A 19,712-nucleotide genomic window follows, 5' to 3' on the forward strand; every position below is an offset into this window, starting at 1 on the left:
AAGAGGGCCAGAAGGCCTGCTGAGGGCTGTTGGGAGTGAGAGAGCAAGTCCTCTGTGGAGAACACCCAGTCTGGGGCGAGGGGAGCGCTCCATTGCTGTGGCTCCTGCCCTGGAGATGGCCCCGGGAACCCCAGCCTGCCACGCTGCCTTCCGCTCCTCCTGGTCTTTCCCTGATTTCCCTGCGCTCACAAAAACCTGGTGAGGGTCATCAGGAGATGGGCATTCTCATCCACGAGACCTCATGGCTTTCACAGCCTTCATGCAGGCCCCTGTGCAACACCCCTGCCCATGCGCGGGAGGCTGCAGCATGGCAGAGGCGGCATGGCAGAGGCGGTGTGGCTCGGAGGAACCTCTGGTAACAATGCCACTCCCGTTCCCTGGTCAGAAAAAGCTTGCGGAGGCTAAGCACCAGTACAGCATCGACGAGCTGAAGCACCAGGAGAACCTGATGCAGGCCCAGCTGGAGGACGAGCAGGCGCAGCGGGAGGAGCTAGAGAAGCACAAGGTACCGTTCCGGCAGGCTGCACGCCCTCGGCCCCCTCAGATGCCCACAAGAGGGCACTGATCAAGTAAAACGGTCCTCAGGGATCCCCAGGCTCTGAAAACACAGAAATCATGCTCCCTCCACAGGGCCTGATGCCCTCTCCCTTCCTGGCTCATCTGCTGTCTGCCCCAGGGCCAGCTCCGTCTCAGTCCAGACCCTGACCCTACTCCTTACTGGCATTCCTGCCTCCAGCTGCTGGAGAGAATGTGCTAAAAACAGTCTGTCAGAGGCCCCTTAAGACCCTTAAGGCAGTTCCCCATGACATGCCAGGAACGGCTCAGGTCCTGTAGCCATGGCCCTGAATTCATGACTGGACCCAGTTGGCCTCTTTCCCACCAGTCTCCACCCCTCCTTGCAACCAGACTGAGAAATGTATAACATTCTGGAAACAGCCTGCAGTTTTATGCCTCTGCACCTCTGCACATGCCATTCTCTTTGTCTGGAACATGCTCCCTCCTGACCTGCCTTCCTCATGGGCCTGTGAGATGATGCAGGGGCCCCTGACAGGAGCCGTCCTACCTACGTGTGTTTCTGCCTGCAGACTGCGTTTGTGGAACACCTGAATGGCTCCTTCCTGTTTGACAGCATGTACGCTGAGGACTCAGAGGGCAACAATCTGTCCTACCTGCCTGGTGTCGGTGAGCTCCTTGAGACATATCCTTCTGAGTTCATGGCTGTCTCAGAGCCTCTGCCACCAGCCTGCCTTGGCAAGGCCCCTTCCGCTCTAGGCCTCAGTTTCTTCATCTCTCTTGTAAGACCTTGGGAGGTAAAATCTCCACTTGAGAGCAATGTACCCAACAGGCAGTTCAGAGTCCGGTCAGCTGAGCTGCATGGGGGAGATGCTGTCTGGATTTCAGGGACATGTGTAGTATCTGGTCAGCATGGCATGGGCTGGCCATGTTTGGCAAGCCAGGTTTTCAGAGGTGGAGAAATGGATTGAAATGTGTTCTCATTAGCCATACTCACTTGTTCTTGTTGTGCACTTGGATCTGGCATTTATTGTTTTCTCAACCACCCCACTAGGCAGGTACCATCATTAACCCCATTTTATAGTTGGGGAAACATAGCTTGGCTGTCCAGGGTCACCCCATTAGAGGCCAGCTTTTGAAGCTTTGTCTGTGGGGCCTGAGAATCTCATTCTTTCCCCAGTTGCCTGGAGCCCAGAGGACGTGGTTGGTACCTGTCATTAGGGCTGAGGCTGTGACCATCGATCAATGGGCTTAAGTTGTGAGCTGAGGGACTCAGGACAGAATCAAGGAGCTCCTGGATCTGAGAGCTCTGAGCTAAGGCATCCAGTCACAGGTGAGTCTGTGGAGCCACCTTCACTGGATAGAGAAAAATTCACTCAAAAACCTGACATTCTGGGCCTGTGAGGTGGCTCATGCCTATAATCCCAGCACTTTGGGAGGCCAAGGCAGGAGGATTGCTTGAGGCCAGGAATTTGAGACCAGTCTAGGCTAGGCAATGTAGTGAGACCCTATCTGTATTAGTCTGTTTTCACGCTCCTGATAAAGATATACTTGAGACTGGGCAATTTACAAAAGAAAGAGGTTTTTGGTTTTTTTGTTTTTTTGTTTTTTGAGACAGCGTTGCGCTGTTGTTGCCCAGGCTGGAGTGCAATTGCGCAATCTCAGCTCACTGCAACCTCCGCCTCCTGGGTTCAAGCGATTTTCCTGCCTCAGCCTCCCAAGTAGTTGGGATTACAGGCATGCGCCACCACACCTGGCTAATTTTTTGTATTTAGTAGAGACTGGGTTTCACTATGTTGGTCAGGCTGGTCTCAAACTCCTGACCTCAGGTGATCTGCCTCGGCCTTCCAAAGTGTTGGGATTACAGGCGTGAGCCACCGTGCCCAGCCAGAAAGAGGTTTAATTGAACTTACAGTTCTACATGGCTGGGGAGGCCTCACAATCATGGCAGAAGGCAAGGAGGAGCAAGTCACATCTTACATGGGCAGTGGGCAAAGAAAGAAAGCCTGTGCAGGGAAACTCCCATATTTAAAACCATCAGATCTCATGAGACTCATTCACTATCATGAGAACAGCACAGGAAAGACTCACCCCCATAATTCAATTACCCCCCACCGGGTTCCTCCCACAACACATGGGAATTATGGGAGTTACAATTCAAGATGAGTTTGGGTGGAGACACAGCCAAACCATATCACCATCTCTAAAAAAAACCAAACACACCTGACATTCTGGAAAGAATGAGGGCAGGGTGGTGAGGAATAGTGAAGAGCAGGGCTCCAGAGCTGGGTTGTTTCTGCCAGCTGGTGACCCAGGTTTGCCTTGGCTGTAGCCCTGTGTAGCCGTGTGACTTTGGGCAAGGCATTTCATCTCTCTGGGCATCAGTTTCCATCCCACAGGATCACCAAGGTCCTGTAGGCTTTACCTGGTTGACTCCAAGGACTCCGTGTCGCAGGCCCTTTTGTACCCTCAGCTGCAGATGAGGAAACTGAGGCCCAGAGAGGTGAAGTGACTTGCCAGGGTGGGTCCTGGAAGCAGTGGCAGAGCCAGGACTTGAACATCCCCAGCACAGCTACAGCAGCTGAGCACCAAGACAGGCCCTCAGTAAGGGTGCCCTTCCAGATAGCACACCAGAGACAGAAACGCACACTGCCTGCTTCCCCAGCTGGGACCGGCTCGCAGGCCCCCAGGGTCCCCAGGCCTCTCTTCTGGGGCCTCTCTGAGCATGTCTGCCTTCTGCTCTGTAGACTCCGCAATGGTTTCTGCCTCCTTCCTTCACACAGGCCCCATTCCTGAATCCCTCAGGCTGAGGGTGGGGATGCACCAAACACACATTTTACCTACATCTCAATCCTGGCTCTCTGGGCCTTTGATTTCTTCATCCACCAAATGAACCAAATGAGACCAGGAGTTTGAGTCTCACACACTGTTGAGCGCACAGTCTGTGCACTGTGCCAGGGTTACCAACACCTTGGCCGTGCCCTCCGCAGCCTGCTCCTGAAACAGCTGTGGGCTTCCTTAACAGCCACTCACCTACAAGGACAAGTTTGTCATCATCTGCGTGAATATTTTTGAGTATGGCCTGAAACAGCAGGAGAAGCGGAAAACAGAGCTTGACACCTTCAGTGAATGTGTCCGTGAGGCCATCCAGGAAAACCAGGAGCAGGGCAAACGCAAGATTGCCAAATTCGAGGAGAAGCACTTGTCGGTAGGCCCCGAGCCTCCTGAGGCCCTCCCTGTCTCCTGCTGTAGGCCCTCCCTGCTCTTGCCACTCCCACTGTAGGGGGACTGCAACTCCTGTACCCTCTGATGACCCCTGAGGCCAATGGTTATTGTCCCCATTTGCCAGAGATCATACAGCTAATCAGTGGCAGAGCCAAGGCCCGCCTTACACCAGCACCACCAACCACAGCTCCCCACTGCTTGACGTGTGGCCTGTGGGTCTTTGTCACACAAAGTGCCCTTGGGATTCAAGGTCGGCCCTACCCCCCAACTTATCATCATCGTTACTATTAATAACAGTATTAGTATGACCATTACTATTTTGACAGTAATGATTACCATCCTTTTATTCATTCATTCATTTAATAGACATTTTCTGAGCTCTACTCTCTGCCTGATCCTAAGAAGCTAGAGCCACACTGGACATGGTTCCTGCCCTTGTGGGGCTCAGACCCAGGCCCAGGCCCCACCCCTCACCTGAGCAAGCAGAGGGATCAGTGCCATCCTGGAGGGAAGCCTGGGGAGCCTTGGGGGTGCCCTAGGGGCGCCTTATCTCAGGCTGGGGAGTTTAGGGAAGGCTGAGGCTCACAGAAGAAAGAAAAGTTGATGGGGAGGAAGGGCGTTCCTCCACCCACTAGGAGCAGCAAAGGAGAAGACTCTGGGTGGTCAGGACTCAGCCTAACCAGGCCATGGGGTCCAGCCCAAGCAGGGGCCATTGGGAAGGGCACCAATCTTTGTATTTGATGGCAACTGCCTCTTTGAGTTGGCATTACTTTTAAAGACAGGATGCTTAGCCTGTTGTAAATCACAGATCTTTGTGAGATGCTAAGGAAAGCTGTGGACCTTCTTTTTCCTCAAAAAACTGTTCACACACACCAAGCTTGCTTGTAGCATAAGGGGCTTTAGGGAGCCCATCCTTGTTGTGAACTTAAGGCCCTTCCTTGTTGTGAACTTAAAGTAGAGCAAAGTCCCTCGATGCGCAACTTCAGATCTGATGGAGTTGGTGATCCACTCCCATGTGCTTCCCGCCTCCCCAACGGCCACCCCCATTCCTGTCTCATTAACCTCCAGGGCCTCACATGTTGTGCGATTTAATTCTCAAGACCCTCCTTGTTATATTTTAGGGAGCAGGGGTTACTGCATTCAACCAGAAGTTCAAAACTGTCAGCAGAGGAATACATTTGGCTCACATATGTGTTTTATGTGGCCTGAATAGGGTTTTAAAACATTTCGAACATCCTGCTGACATTAGAAACTAGCAGATTTCACAGAAAAAATTGTGGTTGCCAGCTTCTCTGGAAGCAACTGTCATCAGGGCTTGAGTGGCAGTTGTCCCCTCTGGACAGGTCATGTCTCCAGTCCCGCAGTCCCTGTCCAGCCTTCCTTCCTGATATTTATCTGGTCCCTGTAGCCACTGGGCTTGGGAGTGTCAGCTAGCTGGCTCTTCCTGAGGCCTGGTGCAGGGACCCAGCCCCTCAGCAGCGAGTCCCTCTGCAGAAGCAGGATATGGGCCATGCCAAGCCTGACTTGGAACATGGAACGTGCCACTTGCTCCTCCGTTCAGGCACCTGCCTTCATTGCGGGCCAGCTCCTCAAAGGCCACCTCGGACGAGCTGACCATCCTAGTGCTCCCCTTCTAGAGCCAAGAGCAGTGGATCCTGCTCAGCCTGCATGCGGAGTCCCTGGGCCCTGGAAATGTGCTCACATTCAGGCCCAGCAGCACCCTGTGGCCTGGCACAGGGATTTTCCATTGTTCCCTGGGTGCTTTCCATGCACAGCCTGGATAGAGGCCACTGACTTGGAAGTTCCCAAGACCCCATAGGCCCTGCAGACCTCCAGTTCCCTCCCTGACAGGCCCTCTCCTATAGGTTTTCCTACGCTCCTCCCACTCATCCCCATTAGGCCTCATCCATTGCACACAGTGCACTGCTCCAGGTGCCCAGTGAGTCACGTTTCAGGGTCATGCTGCAGCCATGTAAGGCTTGGGGCTCAGGCAGACTCCTCACTGGTGACCCAGAGACACATTATTGACCCTCTCCTAGCCTCCATTTCCTCATTTGCAGAACAGAGATAACCACCTTGAAGAACTGTAGTGAGAAACAGAGAGGGAAAGCACTTGTGCAAGGCCTGGAGCAGAGTCAGCCCAAAAGGATGACAGCATGTCTGTGTGTAGTCAGCTGCACTCTCGAATGAGTAGTGTGTGCACATGGCACAGCCTGAAGAATGGCCACTGGGGGATACGGTCTCCCTCCTACTCCTGTATCTCTGTGTGTGTGTGTGTGCGTGCGTGCACACGCGCACATAGCATGCCCTATTCTGTACTTTGCTTTCGTGTGTGTGTGTGAGCATAGCATGCCCTGTTCTGTACTTTGCTTTCCTATGTGTGTGTGCGTGTATGCATAGCATGCCCTGTTTTGTACTTTGCTTTCGTGTGTGTGTGTGTGTGTGTGTGTGTGTGAGCATAGCATGCCTTGTTCTGTACTTTGCTTTCCTATGTGTGTGTACATGTATGCATAGCATGCCCTGTTCTGTACTTTGCTTTCCTCTGTGTGTGTGTGTGTGTGCATAGCATGCCGTTCTGTACTTTGCTTTCACGTGAGTGTGTGTGTGTGTGTGTGTGCATAGCATGCCTTGCTCTGTACTTTGCTTTCGTGTGTGTGTGTGTGTGCGCGCATAGCATGCCCTGTTCTGTACTTTGCTTTCACGTGAGTGTGTGTGTGTGTGTGTGTGTGTGCATAGCATGCCTTGTTCTGTACTTTGCTTTCCTATATTATGCATCTTGGAGAGCCTTCCAAAATGAAAAAGTAGCTTCTTTTTTTTATAGCTAAAATATCGCATTGCATGGGTGAGCCATAATTATTTAGCCAGTCCCTGTTGATGGACAGTTAGGTTTTTTCCCAACCTTTTGCTCTTTTAGTGTTCCACTGAATAAGTTGGTGCAAGTTTGACCTGCAGGATGAAGTCCTAGAAGTGGAACTGTGCATTGGTTTTTTTCATGGTTATTGTCCAACTGTAACCTACAGAACCTGTACCTTCCACAGCCGTCATCAGGCCAGTGTCACAGGCTTCCTCATGTTTGCCAATCTGTGCACCCTGAGTATGCATTTATTTTCTCTTAAGTGGGGATGAGCAACACGTTTTACATGTTTTACAACCATTTGTGTTTTTTATTCTGTGAATTATTTGTACTTATATTTTGCCCTTGCCCACTTTTCTATTTGGTTTTTGGTTTCTCTCTCTCTTCTTAAATTATTTATTATTATTATTTTCAGAATAGGGTCTAACTCCATTGCCCAGGTTGGAGTGCAGTGCACCATTATAGCTCACTGCAGCCTTGAACTCCTGGGCTCAAGCAATCCTCGTGCCTCAGCCTCCTGAGTAGCTGGGACTACAGGAACACAACACCACACCTGGCTGTTTCTTTCTTTTTTTCTTTTTCTTTCTTTTTTTTTTTTAGCTAGTCAAATTTAGCAGTGGGAGACTGTATACCAACTTCAGTGACACCAAATTTAATAAGTTCTCATAACCTACTACCATCAGACCAGACCTTTCTTTTTTAAAAAGTTATTACCTGGCTGGGCGTGGTAGCTCACGTCTGTAATCTCAGCACTTTCGGAGGCCAAGGTGGGTGGATCACCTGAGGTCAGGAGTTCGAGAGCAGCCTGGACAACATGGTGAAACCCCGTCTCTACTAAAAATACAAAAGTTAGCCAGGGTGGTGATGCATGCCTGTAATCCCAGCTACTTGGGAGGCTGAGGCAGGAGAATCACTTGAACCCAGGAGGTGGAGGTTGCAGTGGGCCAAGATCATGCCACTGCATTCCAGCCTGGGCAATAGAGTGAGAGTCTGTCTCAAAAAAAGAAAAAAAATGTTATTACTTTGTAGGAGCTCTTTGTAGATTGTGTCAGTGAAATGAATGGCAAATATTTTTCCCGGTTTGTGTTTTATCTTGCAATGTTGTCTGTGGTGCTTTTGCCATTCAGAATGAAAAATTTTTTTGGCTGGGGGAGGTGGTTCACAACTGTAATCCCAGCACTTCGGGAAGCTGTGGCAGGAAGATCGCTTGAGCCCAGCAGTTTGAGAGCAGCCTGGGCAACATAGTAAGACCCCATCTTAAAAGTAAATACATAAATAAATTTAAAAGAATTAAAAAATTTTTAAGGTAGTAGAGTTTACCAATCTTCTGGTTATATTTGGCAAGATCTCAGATTATTTGTTAAAAATCTCCCAGGTTTGGCCGGACGCAGTGGCTTATGCATGTAATCCCAGCACTTTGGGAGACCAAGGCGGGCGGGTCACCTGAGGGCCGGGAGTTTGAGACCAGCCTTGCCAACATGGTGAAACCCCATCTCTACTAAAAATGCAAAAATTCACTGGGCATGGTGGCAGGCACCTATAATCCCAGCTACTTGGGAAGCTGAGGCGAGAGAATCGCTGGAAACTGGGAGACAGAGGTTGCAGTGAACCAAGATCACGTCACTGCACTCCAGCCTGGGTGACAGTGTGAGACTCTGTCTCAAAGAAAAAAAAAATCTCCCAGGTTTTCTGCTAGCACTTTTATGGTTTAATTTTTTACATTTGAATCTTCATCAGGAATTTGTTTTCATGTAAGGCTTGAGGTAGGGATCGAGCCTGGTTTTTCTCCAGACAGGGTAGCTATTATTATGTCATTCGCCCCCTTCAATCATGCTGTTACTCCATCCTCCTTCATGACTAATACCAGGCATCAACAAAAACAAGCCAAAATCACATCTGGTGTTGGTGGTAACCCAGGCCCTTTGCTAGTAAGCAGCTGGTAGTCAGTGCTGTTTGGACCCCAGGTTGCCATATACCCTCTGAGCACCCCCTCATTCCAAAGGGCTCAGCATCTATTTAGCAGTAGCTTCCACTTGCTCACTGGGGTTCTGTGTGGGTTCAATTCATCTCCTCAAAGACTGGAACTGTCTTTCCTTGCCAGGGTCTTTCCTGGCCTGTGCCTGTGATAGGCCTTTTATAGGAGACTCCGGTAGCCGAGCTCCACTGTGCACCAGGTGCTTCCTGTACACGGCCTCTGATCCCCAGGACCCCGTGAGGCAGAGATGCTTCTCCCCATTTACAGTGAGGAAACTGAGTCAGCGAATGAAAGTGGGTCTCTCAAGGTCACACTGTTAAGTGACCCAGGCAGGATTCAAATTCAGGTTCACCTAACTCTGAAGTTGTAAGGCAGGTAAATTTTTTCCTCTAGCTTATCAGGGTCACTGACTGGGACCAAGAATTAAACTGACATAAGACAAACGAGAAAAGCATACAAATTTTATTGAGTAATTTGTACATGTACATGGGAGCATTCACAAGCAAAATGAAGGCTCAAGAAGCCGTTAGGGCCGAAAGCTTATATACTTAGTTGGACAGAGAGTAGTGAATTGTGAGAACGTGACAAGACAAAGAGGTTTGGGCTAAGGCAGTTCATCGTGGAGAAGTGACAAGGCAGATGAGCGTTAGTTTAACAAGGTTTGTTCACACAGATTCCCCTTGGCCCGGACTCCCTCCCTCTGATGATAAGAATGGCTTCTTGGCTGGGCACAGTGGCTCACACCTGTAATCTCAGCACTCTGGGAGGCCGAGGTGGGTGGATCATGAGGTCAGGAGTTCAAGACCAGCCTGGCCAAGATGGTGAAACCCCGTCTCTACTAAAAATACAAAAAAAATTAGCCGGTCATAATGGCAGGTGCCTGTAATCCTAGCTACTCAGGAGACTGAGGCAGAGAATTGCTTGAACTCAGGAGGCAGAGGTTGCAGTGACCGAGATCGTACCACTGCACTCCAGCCTGGGTGACAGAGTGAGACTACGTCTTTAAAAAAAAAAAAAAAAAAAAAAAAAAAAAAAAGAATGGTTTCTTTCCTCCTGGTACAGGGAGGGCACCTTTCCCATGGGAGATTTAACTTCTGCTTTCAGGAAGAAAAAGGGAGGTCAGGGTGTCCTCTTTGCATTTTCTGTTTTTAAGTATCTTTTTTTTTTTTTTTTTTTTTTTGAGACAGAGTCTCACTCTGTCGCCCAGGCTGGAGTGCAGTGGCACAATCTCGGCTCACTGCAAGCCCCACCTCCCAGGTTCACGCCATTCTCCTGCCTCAGCCTCCCAAGTAGCTGGGACTACAGGCACCCGCCACCATGCCTGGCTAATTTTTTTTTTTTTTTGTATTTTTAGTATAGATGGGGTTTCACTGTGATAGCCAGGATGGTCTCAATCTCCTGACCTCATGATCCACCCACCTCGGCCTCCCAAAGTGCTGGGATTACAGGCATAAGCCACTGCTCCCGGCCTTTAAGTATCTTTAACTCAAAATAATCACTATGCCAAAGCGGCATATTTTGGTGTGAAATGCTCTGAACCCCATGAAAGCCATGGCTCCTTCTACCCTGCCTACCAGCCTCTAATAAAAACCTGAGCTTACAGGGAGTGAGCACTTGCTAGTGCTCAAAGAGCCTCACATGTGTTCTCTCACTTGTGTCAAGGGTAGGGGCTATCAATCGCACTTTACAGACCAGGAAACTGAGGCATGGAGAGGGTAGGTAGCTTCTACACGCTTTCAGAGCCAGCAAATGGCAAAGCTGAGACTTGCACTTGGGCAGGCTGACTCGAGTCCAAATTCTTACCCACAAAACCAAATTGCCACCTGCCATTATCTAATTACACTTAGTTGTTGATTCCTAAAGTGCAGTCTATTGTTTCTAGAGTTTAAGTGCCATTCGAGAGGAGTTGGAACTGCCCAACATTGAGAAGATGATCCTAGAATGCAGTGCTGACATCAGTGAGTTGTTCGATGCGCTCATGACGCTGGAGATGCAGCTGGTGGAGCAGCTGGAGGTAAGGCTGGGCCCTGGGCACAAGTGCCAGAATCTGGCGATGCAGCTGCACATCCATAGGTGAACTGTAGCCTTCATGGGCACGCCTCTGCTGGAAACGTCCAGCACGACTCAGCGTGGCAGGCTGTAGCTTTCTTGCTCATCAGTCCTGTTTGCTTTTATTACATTTTAATCATTTACATTGGAAGTGATTCTTGTGGAAAATGAGAGGTGAGCTCATTCTTCTGAAATGGTCCCCCTATCCTGGAAGTCAGTGGGGAGAGGTTTTTGATTAGACCCCTGGAGCTATCCGGGTACTCTAAAGGCAAAGCGCACCCCCACTTGGGGACCAAACAAAGACCCCTCCGCATTGCAGCCTGCAGTTGCCGCTTCTCAGGTGACGTGAGGAGGCTGCAACTCAGCACTAAGTAGTGAAAATGAAAAGCGCCGCTGTCTGAAATTCATTAGCAGCCAGAGTATGTGTTACAAGGCAGCGGAGGCTGGGAGTCTGAAGTGGTGTGATGAATTGAACCTCATCGGATGCTGCTGTGGCTGGGCCAAGTGATAGCACCTAATCAATTCCTCACACGTCAAGTGACACCTCAGACATGGGATAGATTTCCCCATCACATCACAGGGCAGGTGCTCCCTCCCTGCTGGAGAGCACAGGCACTGCAGAAGCAGCGCACAGTGCCAGGGGCGAGTGAGGCAGCAGCTCCCAGCCTTTTCAGGCACGGAGATTGCCTTTCAACATCCAAACATTTCCCAGAACCCATGTGCCATCCTACTTGTATTACTGGTGGCCAGAAAGCCACAAGCGCAATCATGCTTTTCAATGACCCTATTTTTATTCACGAGAACAGCACATACATGTGTTTGAAAATTATGTGAGGTGCTCACTCTGCAGACAGTACTCACATTCCTATAGATTCCACCCCTGCCCACCTTGCAGCCCCTGGAGTCTATAGCAGATGGGAGTGGGGCACTCCGAGAGTGGCAGGCCTGGAGATCACATCTTCCATTGTTCCTTCAATCAACACTAACTCCCATTTGGGCCTTAGGTGCCTTGCTAAGCACCACAAAACAGCAACTAACTGAAAGAGATCTGGAGTGCCAGCCCGCTCCTACTGAGGGCCTCCTCTCTGTCAGGCACCTTGCAAAGCATTTTGTGTGAAGTGACTCATTTAACCTCACCACAACGCCACAACGCAGGGATTATGCAGGTAACCTATTTCCCAGATGAGGAAGATAAGGCCCAAGGAGGTGAAATGCCTTTCCCAGAGTTACACAGAGTGCTGGAGCTGGGAATACTGACCCAGGCAGTCTAGCTCTTAACAGCTCACTCCACTGTTTCCCTGGAGGTGATGCACAGATGTCACTGGGAAACCCAAAGGAGAGGGGGTTGGCTGTGTGTGTGTGTGTTGGGCAGGCAGGTAAGGGGAGTAAGACCAGGACAAGTGTTCCTGGCAAAGTTCCGGTGACAGCATTAAACATTCAGATGGTGAGGGAGTTAATATGGTTGGAGAACAACAACTTTAGAGAGAGCAGAGGGGTCAGTTCACAACCATCTGCTCAGGAGGGTCAAGATGGGTGGTCTTTATGCTGAAGGTCTGTGATTAGAGGAGCTGGTTGCTAAATTTTGAGGAGTACCTTTTGCTCTGTGCTGGACATCTAAATATGCATGTTAACTGTGTTCTTTAACATTTCCAGGAGACTATAAACATGTTTGAAAGGAACATTGTTGACATGGTAGGACTGTTTATCGAAAATGTCCAAAGCCTATATCCTTTCTGTGATGACCTTCCCCATGGGGAGGTGCTACAGAGCCCCTGGGCTTGTCCCGGCCTCTGGACAAAAGAATGTTCCACAGGGTCTGAGGAGGTTTCCCGACCCTCAGAACAATGATGGCCTGGTTAGAGCTGTGGTTTGGATGCCCAGAGGGACAACATCCAAACTGTTTGCAGTAGGCTCCCAGCATGATTGTTCTCATATGAGTGATGTTCACTAGGAAATGACGCCCCCTGTGTTGCAGGCAAGCACACTCTGGGGTTGAGGCAACCCCCACGTGGAAGACACTATAAGGAGTACATCAGGTGAAATGTTAGGGTGAGGAGCCAACATCGGAGCATGGCCAACCCTTCTTCCACCCGAACTCAGGGCACTCCACATGGGGCAAACTGCTGTGCTCCAGCTAGCAGCAGCCCTGTGGTCCTGCCCTCCTGGGGCTCACAGTCCCTCAGGGAGACAAGTTGTAGAGGCAACAAGTGGTGCCAAATGCACAGGGTGAGAAGCAGTTAACCCAGAGGCCAGGAGCCTCCATGCAGGAGGGAGAGAAGAGTGTGATGGCAGGGGCCGAGGGTCCGTCCGAGGTGTGGGGCAGGGGCAGGGAGTCGAGGAAGGCCCAGGGTTCGGAGCTTGTGAGTGGACGGTGCTGCCAGCCAGAATTTCCGAGCTCGCCTTGGGCCCTTAAAGTCTGTCTCCCGCCGTCTGAGAGCATCAGGGACGCGCCGGGCCTGCTCCTCCCGGGCCTTTGCTTAACTCGGGGCTGCACGATGGCTCAGTGCCGGGACCTGGAGAATCACCACCACGAGAAGCTCCTGGAGATCTCTATCAGCACCCTGGAGAAGATTGTCGAGGGCGACCTGGACGAGGACCTGCCTAACGACCTGCGCGCGGTAGGCGGGGCGGGCTGCTCGGAGCCTGACAGATGTGGTCCAGCCCAGCTCTGTGGCTGGACTGAGGCTCTGTGAGTAAGCCTGACAACCTCCCAGAGCCTCAGTGTTCTCATCTGCAAAAGGGCACACTAACCTGCTTTACAGGGTTGCTGGCAGATAAAATAGGCTAACAAAGCACCTGGTGGGGCACCCAGTGGGGCCCAGTTAAAGAGGAGCTCATGATAATTAGATGGTTTCAACTTTCCAACAGGGTCGTTTCCAAAAGTTCAATTATGTGGAGGCTTCTGGCACTTTCTAAGAGAAGCAGTTACAGGTAGAGGTTGAAGTCTGAGATTTCCCCTGGAGGTCTTCTTAACCTTAGAGTCTGTATAATGAGTACTGTGGGGGTGTTGGAACCACCATTTCTGATCCTGCACAATGCCATCCGGTTTGCACCAGCACATCCACTGATGAATGGTCACAAAATCAGCAGGGTCGGCCTGAGGAACCTGGCTCCATCCCTGGGGTCTGCACGCTAAGAAGGCTCTCCCGGATGTCTGCGCTGGGTCCCGCGGCAGCATGTCTATGTCTCTGGAAGGAGTGTGGGCATCAAGGGCCCAGACAGAGATACTATGTTGTCAGGGCCCAGACAGAGATACTATGTTGTCAGGGCCTGCTTTAGTGCATGCATCATTCACTCCACTGCCAGTTTCTCAGCTTCTCTCTGTCGCGACATCACCACCAAGGCAAGCCACCATCGTCCTTGGCCTGGACTGCTTGCCTCTTTACTGTCCTCTTACAGTCCGTCCTCCATGTGGCAGCCAGAGGGACCCTTGAAAACCCAAACCCTATCACTGCACACTTTTACACAACACCTTCTAGTGGCTTTCATGACCCCTAGCGTCAGCTCCTCCCCATAGTCCCCCAGACCCTCGGGCTGACCCTGCCCATCTGGGCGATTCCCACCCCCAGAACCCTCACTCCTGATGCTCAGCGGCAGCCTCTGAGCTCTTCCCCAGTCACCCAGGCTTGCTCCTTTCAGTTGATATTCCACCTGGCAGACACGCTCTTCCTAGGTCCCCATGTGCCTGGCTTGTCCTTGTCATTCAGATTTCAGCTTGACTATCAGCTCTTGGGAGAGGCCTTTCTTCATCAACTTCCAGAAAAACCACTGTCTCTGTATCACATGCCCCATTTATCAGGTCAGGTCAGAGCCTCATCATAGTTTCAAACTACCTGGCTGATGTGTATTTGCTGCTGATGTGACTATTCACACTACATGTAAGCTCAGGAGGGAGGACGGGGATGGCCTTTTCACCACCATGTACCCCCTCAGTACCAGCAACAGTGTACAACATGCAGCACAGATGCCAGGCATCATCTGCAGAATGAGTGTGAGAGCGTATGCTCACCAAGCCTCCACTCTGCCAGATATGGGGCTAAGTCTTGCAGACACACAGGACCAGCAGTCCCTGACTTCCACAGCCTCTGTCCTGGGGCCCAGACAGACACCCAACATAGCAGTGTGGTGATAGGGTCACCGTGACACCAGCCTTCCCTCCCTAAGCTGATAACTGCAGCTAATTGCTATTGACCAGACACAGGAAAACACCACCTTCCCTGTGAAGTAAGGCTGTCCCTGAGTGCCCAGTTTGGAATTCCCCAGACAGACCATCTTGGGGTGGGTGGAGATCCCTCCCAGCACAGCTCCCATGTCTGTGACACCCAGAAGGCACAGGACTGAAACGTGCCCAATTTCTAATGACTAGGACACACAGAAAAAGATGAATCCAGAGGCCAACAGCAGAGAAGCAGGCTGGGCTGGCATTTTCAGTGGCCAGCCCTCCCTCCAGCCCAGCTGGCTCTGCCTGGTGCCAGCTGACCACCATTCCTGTGGCTTTACGCCTGCAGTTATAGGAAGAGACTCCCCAGGACCTTATACCATGGCCTAAGTCTCCTTCCATCTAAGCAACAAAAAATGTGACCTACCCTTCTCAGGAGGAAAAAGTATGCTCTGACTATATGAGTAATACCAACATCACTTTGAAAGGCTGAGGTGGAAGGATTGCTTCAGCCCTGGAATTTGAGACCAGCCTGGGTAACATAGCGAGACCCCCTCTCTACAAATAATAATTTAAAAATTAGGTGATGCGCACCTGGTGGTCCCAGCTACTTGGGAGACTGAGGTTGGAGGATTACTTGAGCCTGGGAAGTCAAGGTGAGCCATGACTGTGCCACTGCACTCCAGTCTGGGTGACAGAGCAAGACCCTGTCTCAAAAAAATAAAATAAAATAAAGGAATAATACATCGCTGACATTTGACTGGGGGCCTCCTGAGGGCCAGCCCTCTGGGAAGCACTGAACTCATGTTTGCTTTTTTAATCTTCACATCAACACGGAAAAGTAGGTACTATTATGGTTCCCTTTTACAGATGAGGAAACTGAGGCACAGAGATGAAGGTAACCTGCCCAAGGACACACAGCTTATAACAGATAGGGTTGTGATTTGAACCAGGCAGTTTGATTGAAAGCCTTTGACAAAATGTCTACTGTATAGCAAGATGGGGATGTTCAGAGGAGGGACTAGGGCTGTGGGTGAAAAAAACCTGGCTTCTGTTACCTAATTATCAAGGAGCATATCTTGATAAGTCACCCTGATGAGGTTATCTCTAAAACTCCACTCATGCAGTTGAGTGACTGTTATCAGCTCATGACCTACATGGGGCCAATCTGTCCCATATCTATTTTCAAGTCCTTCCAGCTTTGAGAGGAAAAGCAGAACGTACATGCTGAGGAGAGAGCCTGGAGCTGGCACTGAGGGAGGGCATCTGAGTGGTGCTGGCAGCCACAGCTGCCCATTTAGGGAGGTGGGGAGGACAGAGGTGCTGCCTGGCTGCTCTGAACATCCACGCGGGTATCCGGCTGCGAGGGCAGGGTGAGTGCTCAGGCCCAGGGAGGATGCAAGTCCCCAGGGTCTGCTCAAGTGGCAGTGGGTCTGACCCAAGCCAGCAGTCTCTGGACAGGGAGACTGCCACAAGATTCTGGCTGGCACCAGGAGACTCCGCGTTGGCTTGTCCCTGCCCATCAAGCCAAGCTGCTCATTTGTCTGTGGCAGAGGAGAATGCAGGGTTGTCAGGTGCCCTTTGTGGGTATGATGGAATGATCTGATCCCACATGCCATGGGGCAGCAAGTCCTCAAGCCACTAGCAGTGCGGTGGTCCTGGGGAGGGGCACCAGCTGTTGCCTTCTCAAAAGTCACTTTGTTGCTACCCAAAGCAACCTACAGATTCAATGCAATCCCCATCAAAACACCAATGACATTCTTCGCAGAAATAGAAAAAAAATCCTACAATTTAGAATCACAAAAGACCTTGAAGAGCCAAAGCCATCCTGAGCAAAAAGAACAACGCTGGAGGCATCACATTACCAGACTTCAAAATATACTACAAAGTTGTAGTAACCAAAACAGCATGGTACTGGCATAAAACAGACACACATTTCTCCAAGAAAACACCAAATGGTAGATGACACTATGGCAGCAGGAGGGCCCAGAAGCCTGGAATGGGAAACCATGGAAGCTTTGTCAGCAGCTTCTGGGGCTAGGATTGTGGCCATAGTCAGGGCAGGGGCTGAGGCTGCGGGGAGCTCTCAGAGGCAAGGTCCAGGCAAAGGAGTGGATGCCCATCACCAAGCTGGGCTGCCTGGTCAAGGACATGAAGATCAAGTCCCTGGAAGAGATCTATCTCTTCTCCCCGCCCATCAAGTAGTCTGAGATCATTGACTTTTTCCTGGGGGCCTCTCTCAAGGATGAGGTTTTTTTTTTGTTTGTTTGTTTGTTTGTTTGTTTTTGAGACGGAATTTTGCTTTTTTGCCCAGGCTGGAGTGCAATGGCATGATCTTGGCTCACGACAATCTCCACCTCCCAGGTTCAAGTGATTCTCCTGCCTCAGCCTCCCGAGTAGCTGGGATTACAGGCATGCGCCACCATGCCCAGCTAATTTTGTATTTTTAGTAGAGATGGGGTTTCTCCATGTTGGTCAGGCTGGTCTCAAACTCCTGACCTCAGGTAATCTGCCCGCCTCAGCCTCCCAAAGTGCTGGGATTACAGGCGTGAGCCGCCACGCCAGGCCTAGGATGAGGTTTTAAAGATTATGCCAGTGCAGAAGCAGACCTGCCCCAGCCAGCGCAGCAGGTTCAAGGCGTTTGTTGCCATCAGGGATTACAATGGCCGTGTCACTCTGGGTGTTAAGTGCTCCAAGGAAGCAGCCACTGCTGTCAGAGGGATCACTGTCCTGACCAAGCTCTCTACTGTCCCCGTGCAGAGGCCACTGGGGGACCAAGATTGCAAGCCCCACACTGTCCCTTGCAAGATGACAGGCTGCTGCGGCTCTGTGCTGCTGCACCTTATTCCTGCACCCAGGGGCACTGGCATCCTCTTGGCCTCTGTGCCCAAGAAGATGCTGCTGATGTCCAGTATTGACAACTGCTACACCTCAGCCAGGAGCTGCAGTGCCACCCTGGGCAACTTTGCCAAGGCCACCTTTGATGCCATCTCCAAGACCTATAGCTACCTGCCCCCTGACCTCTGGGAGGAGACTGTGTTCACCAAGTCTTCCTCTCAGTAATTCACTGACCATCTTGTCAAGACCCACACCAGAGTCTCTGTGTGGAGGACTCAGGCTTCAGCTGTGGCTACAACACAGGGTTTTGTTTTGAGATGGAGCCTTGCTCTATCGCCCAGGCTGGAGTGCAGTGGTGCAGTCCTGGCTCACTGCAACCTCCACCACCTGGGTTCACATGATCCTCCTACCTCAGCCTCCCGAGTACCTGGGACTACAAGCGCACACCACCATGCCTGGTTAATTTTTTGTATTTTTAGTAGAGATGGGGTTTTACCAATGTTGGCCGGCCAGGCTGGTCTCAAACTCCTGACCTCAAGTGATCCGCCCACCTTGGCTTCCCAAAGTAACACAGGGTTTTTATATAAGAAAAATAAAGTGAATTAAGCCTGTTTAAAACAAACAAAAACACAGATACATAAACCAATGAAACAGAATAGAGAACTCAGAAATTAATCTATATATTTACAGCCAACTGATTTTTGACAAAAGCGCCAAGAACACTCACTGGGGAAAAGACAGTCTCTTCAATAGATTTTGCTGGGAAAACTGGATATCCATATGCAGAAGAATGAAACTAGATTCCCATCTCTCACTCTATACAAAAATCAACTAAAAATGGATCTAAGACCTACATGTAAGACCTGAAACTGGCAGGGCGCAGTGGCTCATGCCTGTAATCCCAGCACTTTGGGAGCCTGAGACAGACAGGTCGCTGGAGCTCATGAGTTGGAGACCAGCCTGGGCAACATGGCAAAGACCCACCTCTCTATAAAAAATACAAAAATTAGCTGGGCATGGTGGTACCTGCCTATAGTCCCAGCTACTCAGGATGCTGAGGTGGGAGGATGGCTTGAGCCCAGGAGGTGGAGGTTGTAGTGAGCTGAAATTGCACCACTGCACTCCAGCCTGAGCAATAGAGCCAGACTTTGTCTCAGAAGAAAAAAAAAAAGACCTGAAACTATAAAATGACCAGAAGAAAACAAGAGAAATGCTTTAGGACATTGGCCTGGGAAAAAATTTTATGAATAAGACCTCAAAAGCACAGACAACAAAAGCAAAAATAAATGGAATATATCAAACTATAAATCTTCTGCACAGCAAATGAAACAACAGAGTGAAAAGACACCCTACACAATGTGACAAAATATTTGCAAACTACTTATCTGACAGGGTATTAATATCCAGAATATACAATGAACTCTAACATCTCAATAGCAAAAAAACAAACAATTCAATTAAAAACATCTGAACAGATGTTTCTCAAAAGAAGACATACAAATGGCCAACAAATACATTAAAAACTTTTCAGCATCACTAGTTATCAGGGAAATGCAAATAAGAACCAGAATGAGGCATCATCTCACCCCACTTAGGATGATAATTATCAAAAAGACAAAAAATAACAAATGCTGGTGAGGATGCAAAGAAAAAGGAACTCATATACTGTAAGTAAGAATGTAAACTAGGACAGCCACTAGGAAGAACATTGTGGAGGGCCCTCAAAAACTACAAACAGAACTATCATATGATCCAGCAATCTCACTACTGAGCATTTGTCTAAAGGAAAGGAAATCACTATATTGAAAACATATCTGCACCCATGTTTACTGCAGCACTGTTCGCAATAACAAGATACAGAATCAACCTAGGTGTCCAACAACAGATGACTGGATAAAGAAAATGTGGTACCTATACACAATGGAATACTATTCAGCCATAAAAAAAGAATGAAATCCATGGCAACATGGATGGAACTGGAGGACATTATGTTAAGTGAAATAAGCCAGGAACAGAAAGTTAAACACCTCATGTTCTCACTCATATGCCGAAGCTAAAAAAGTTGATCTCATAGAAGTAAAAACAAGAACAGAGGCTTC

At 49.9% G+C, this 19,712-nt stretch overlaps 1 protein-coding gene and 1 pseudogene across 17 annotated transcripts in view, besides 1 other annotated feature; both read left to right on the top strand.

Moving 5' to 3' along the window:
- DRC3 (dynein regulatory complex subunit 3) overlaps positions 1–19,712 on the top strand; it is a 44,077-nt gene that overhangs the window by 21,101 nt on the left and 3,264 nt on the right. For 9 of the 17 annotated variants that reach the window (XM_024450964.2, NM_001130090.1, XM_011524018.3 and 6 more), the window contains 6 exons: positions 386–505; positions 1,086–1,198; positions 3,547–3,721; positions 10,450–10,581; positions 12,270–12,340; positions 13,111–13,234. In XM_024450964.2, coding sequence (XP_024306732.1) covers positions 386–505; positions 1,086–1,198; positions 3,547–3,721; positions 10,450–10,581; positions 12,270–12,340; positions 13,111–13,234 — 735 coding nt within the window. The other 8 variants (XM_011524022.3, NM_001130091.2, NM_001130092.2 and 5 more) reach the window with 6 other exon arrangements.
- Positions 923–1,089: a silencer, noted in NCBI's record as "fragment chr17:17898150-17898316 (GRCh37/hg19 assembly coordinates)". NCBI's record gives its function as "represses an EF-1alpha promoter that drives an FKBP-Casp9 reporter gene in an ReSE screen in phorbol 12-myristate 13-acetate-treated (for megakaryocytic differentiation) K562 erythroleukemia cells {active_cell/tissue: K562(+PMA)}" and the evidence as "EXISTENCE:reporter gene assay evidence [ECO:0000049][PMID:32094911]".
- On the top strand, positions 16,731–17,913 carry LOC100419436 (ribosomal protein S2 pseudogene; annotated as a pseudogene).

The sequence above is a fragment of the Homo sapiens genome, chromosome 17, assembly GCF_000001405.40.
Source record: "Homo sapiens chromosome 17, GRCh38.p14 Primary Assembly".
Lineage (NCBI taxonomy): Eukaryota > Metazoa > Chordata > Mammalia > Primates > Hominidae > Homo > Homo sapiens.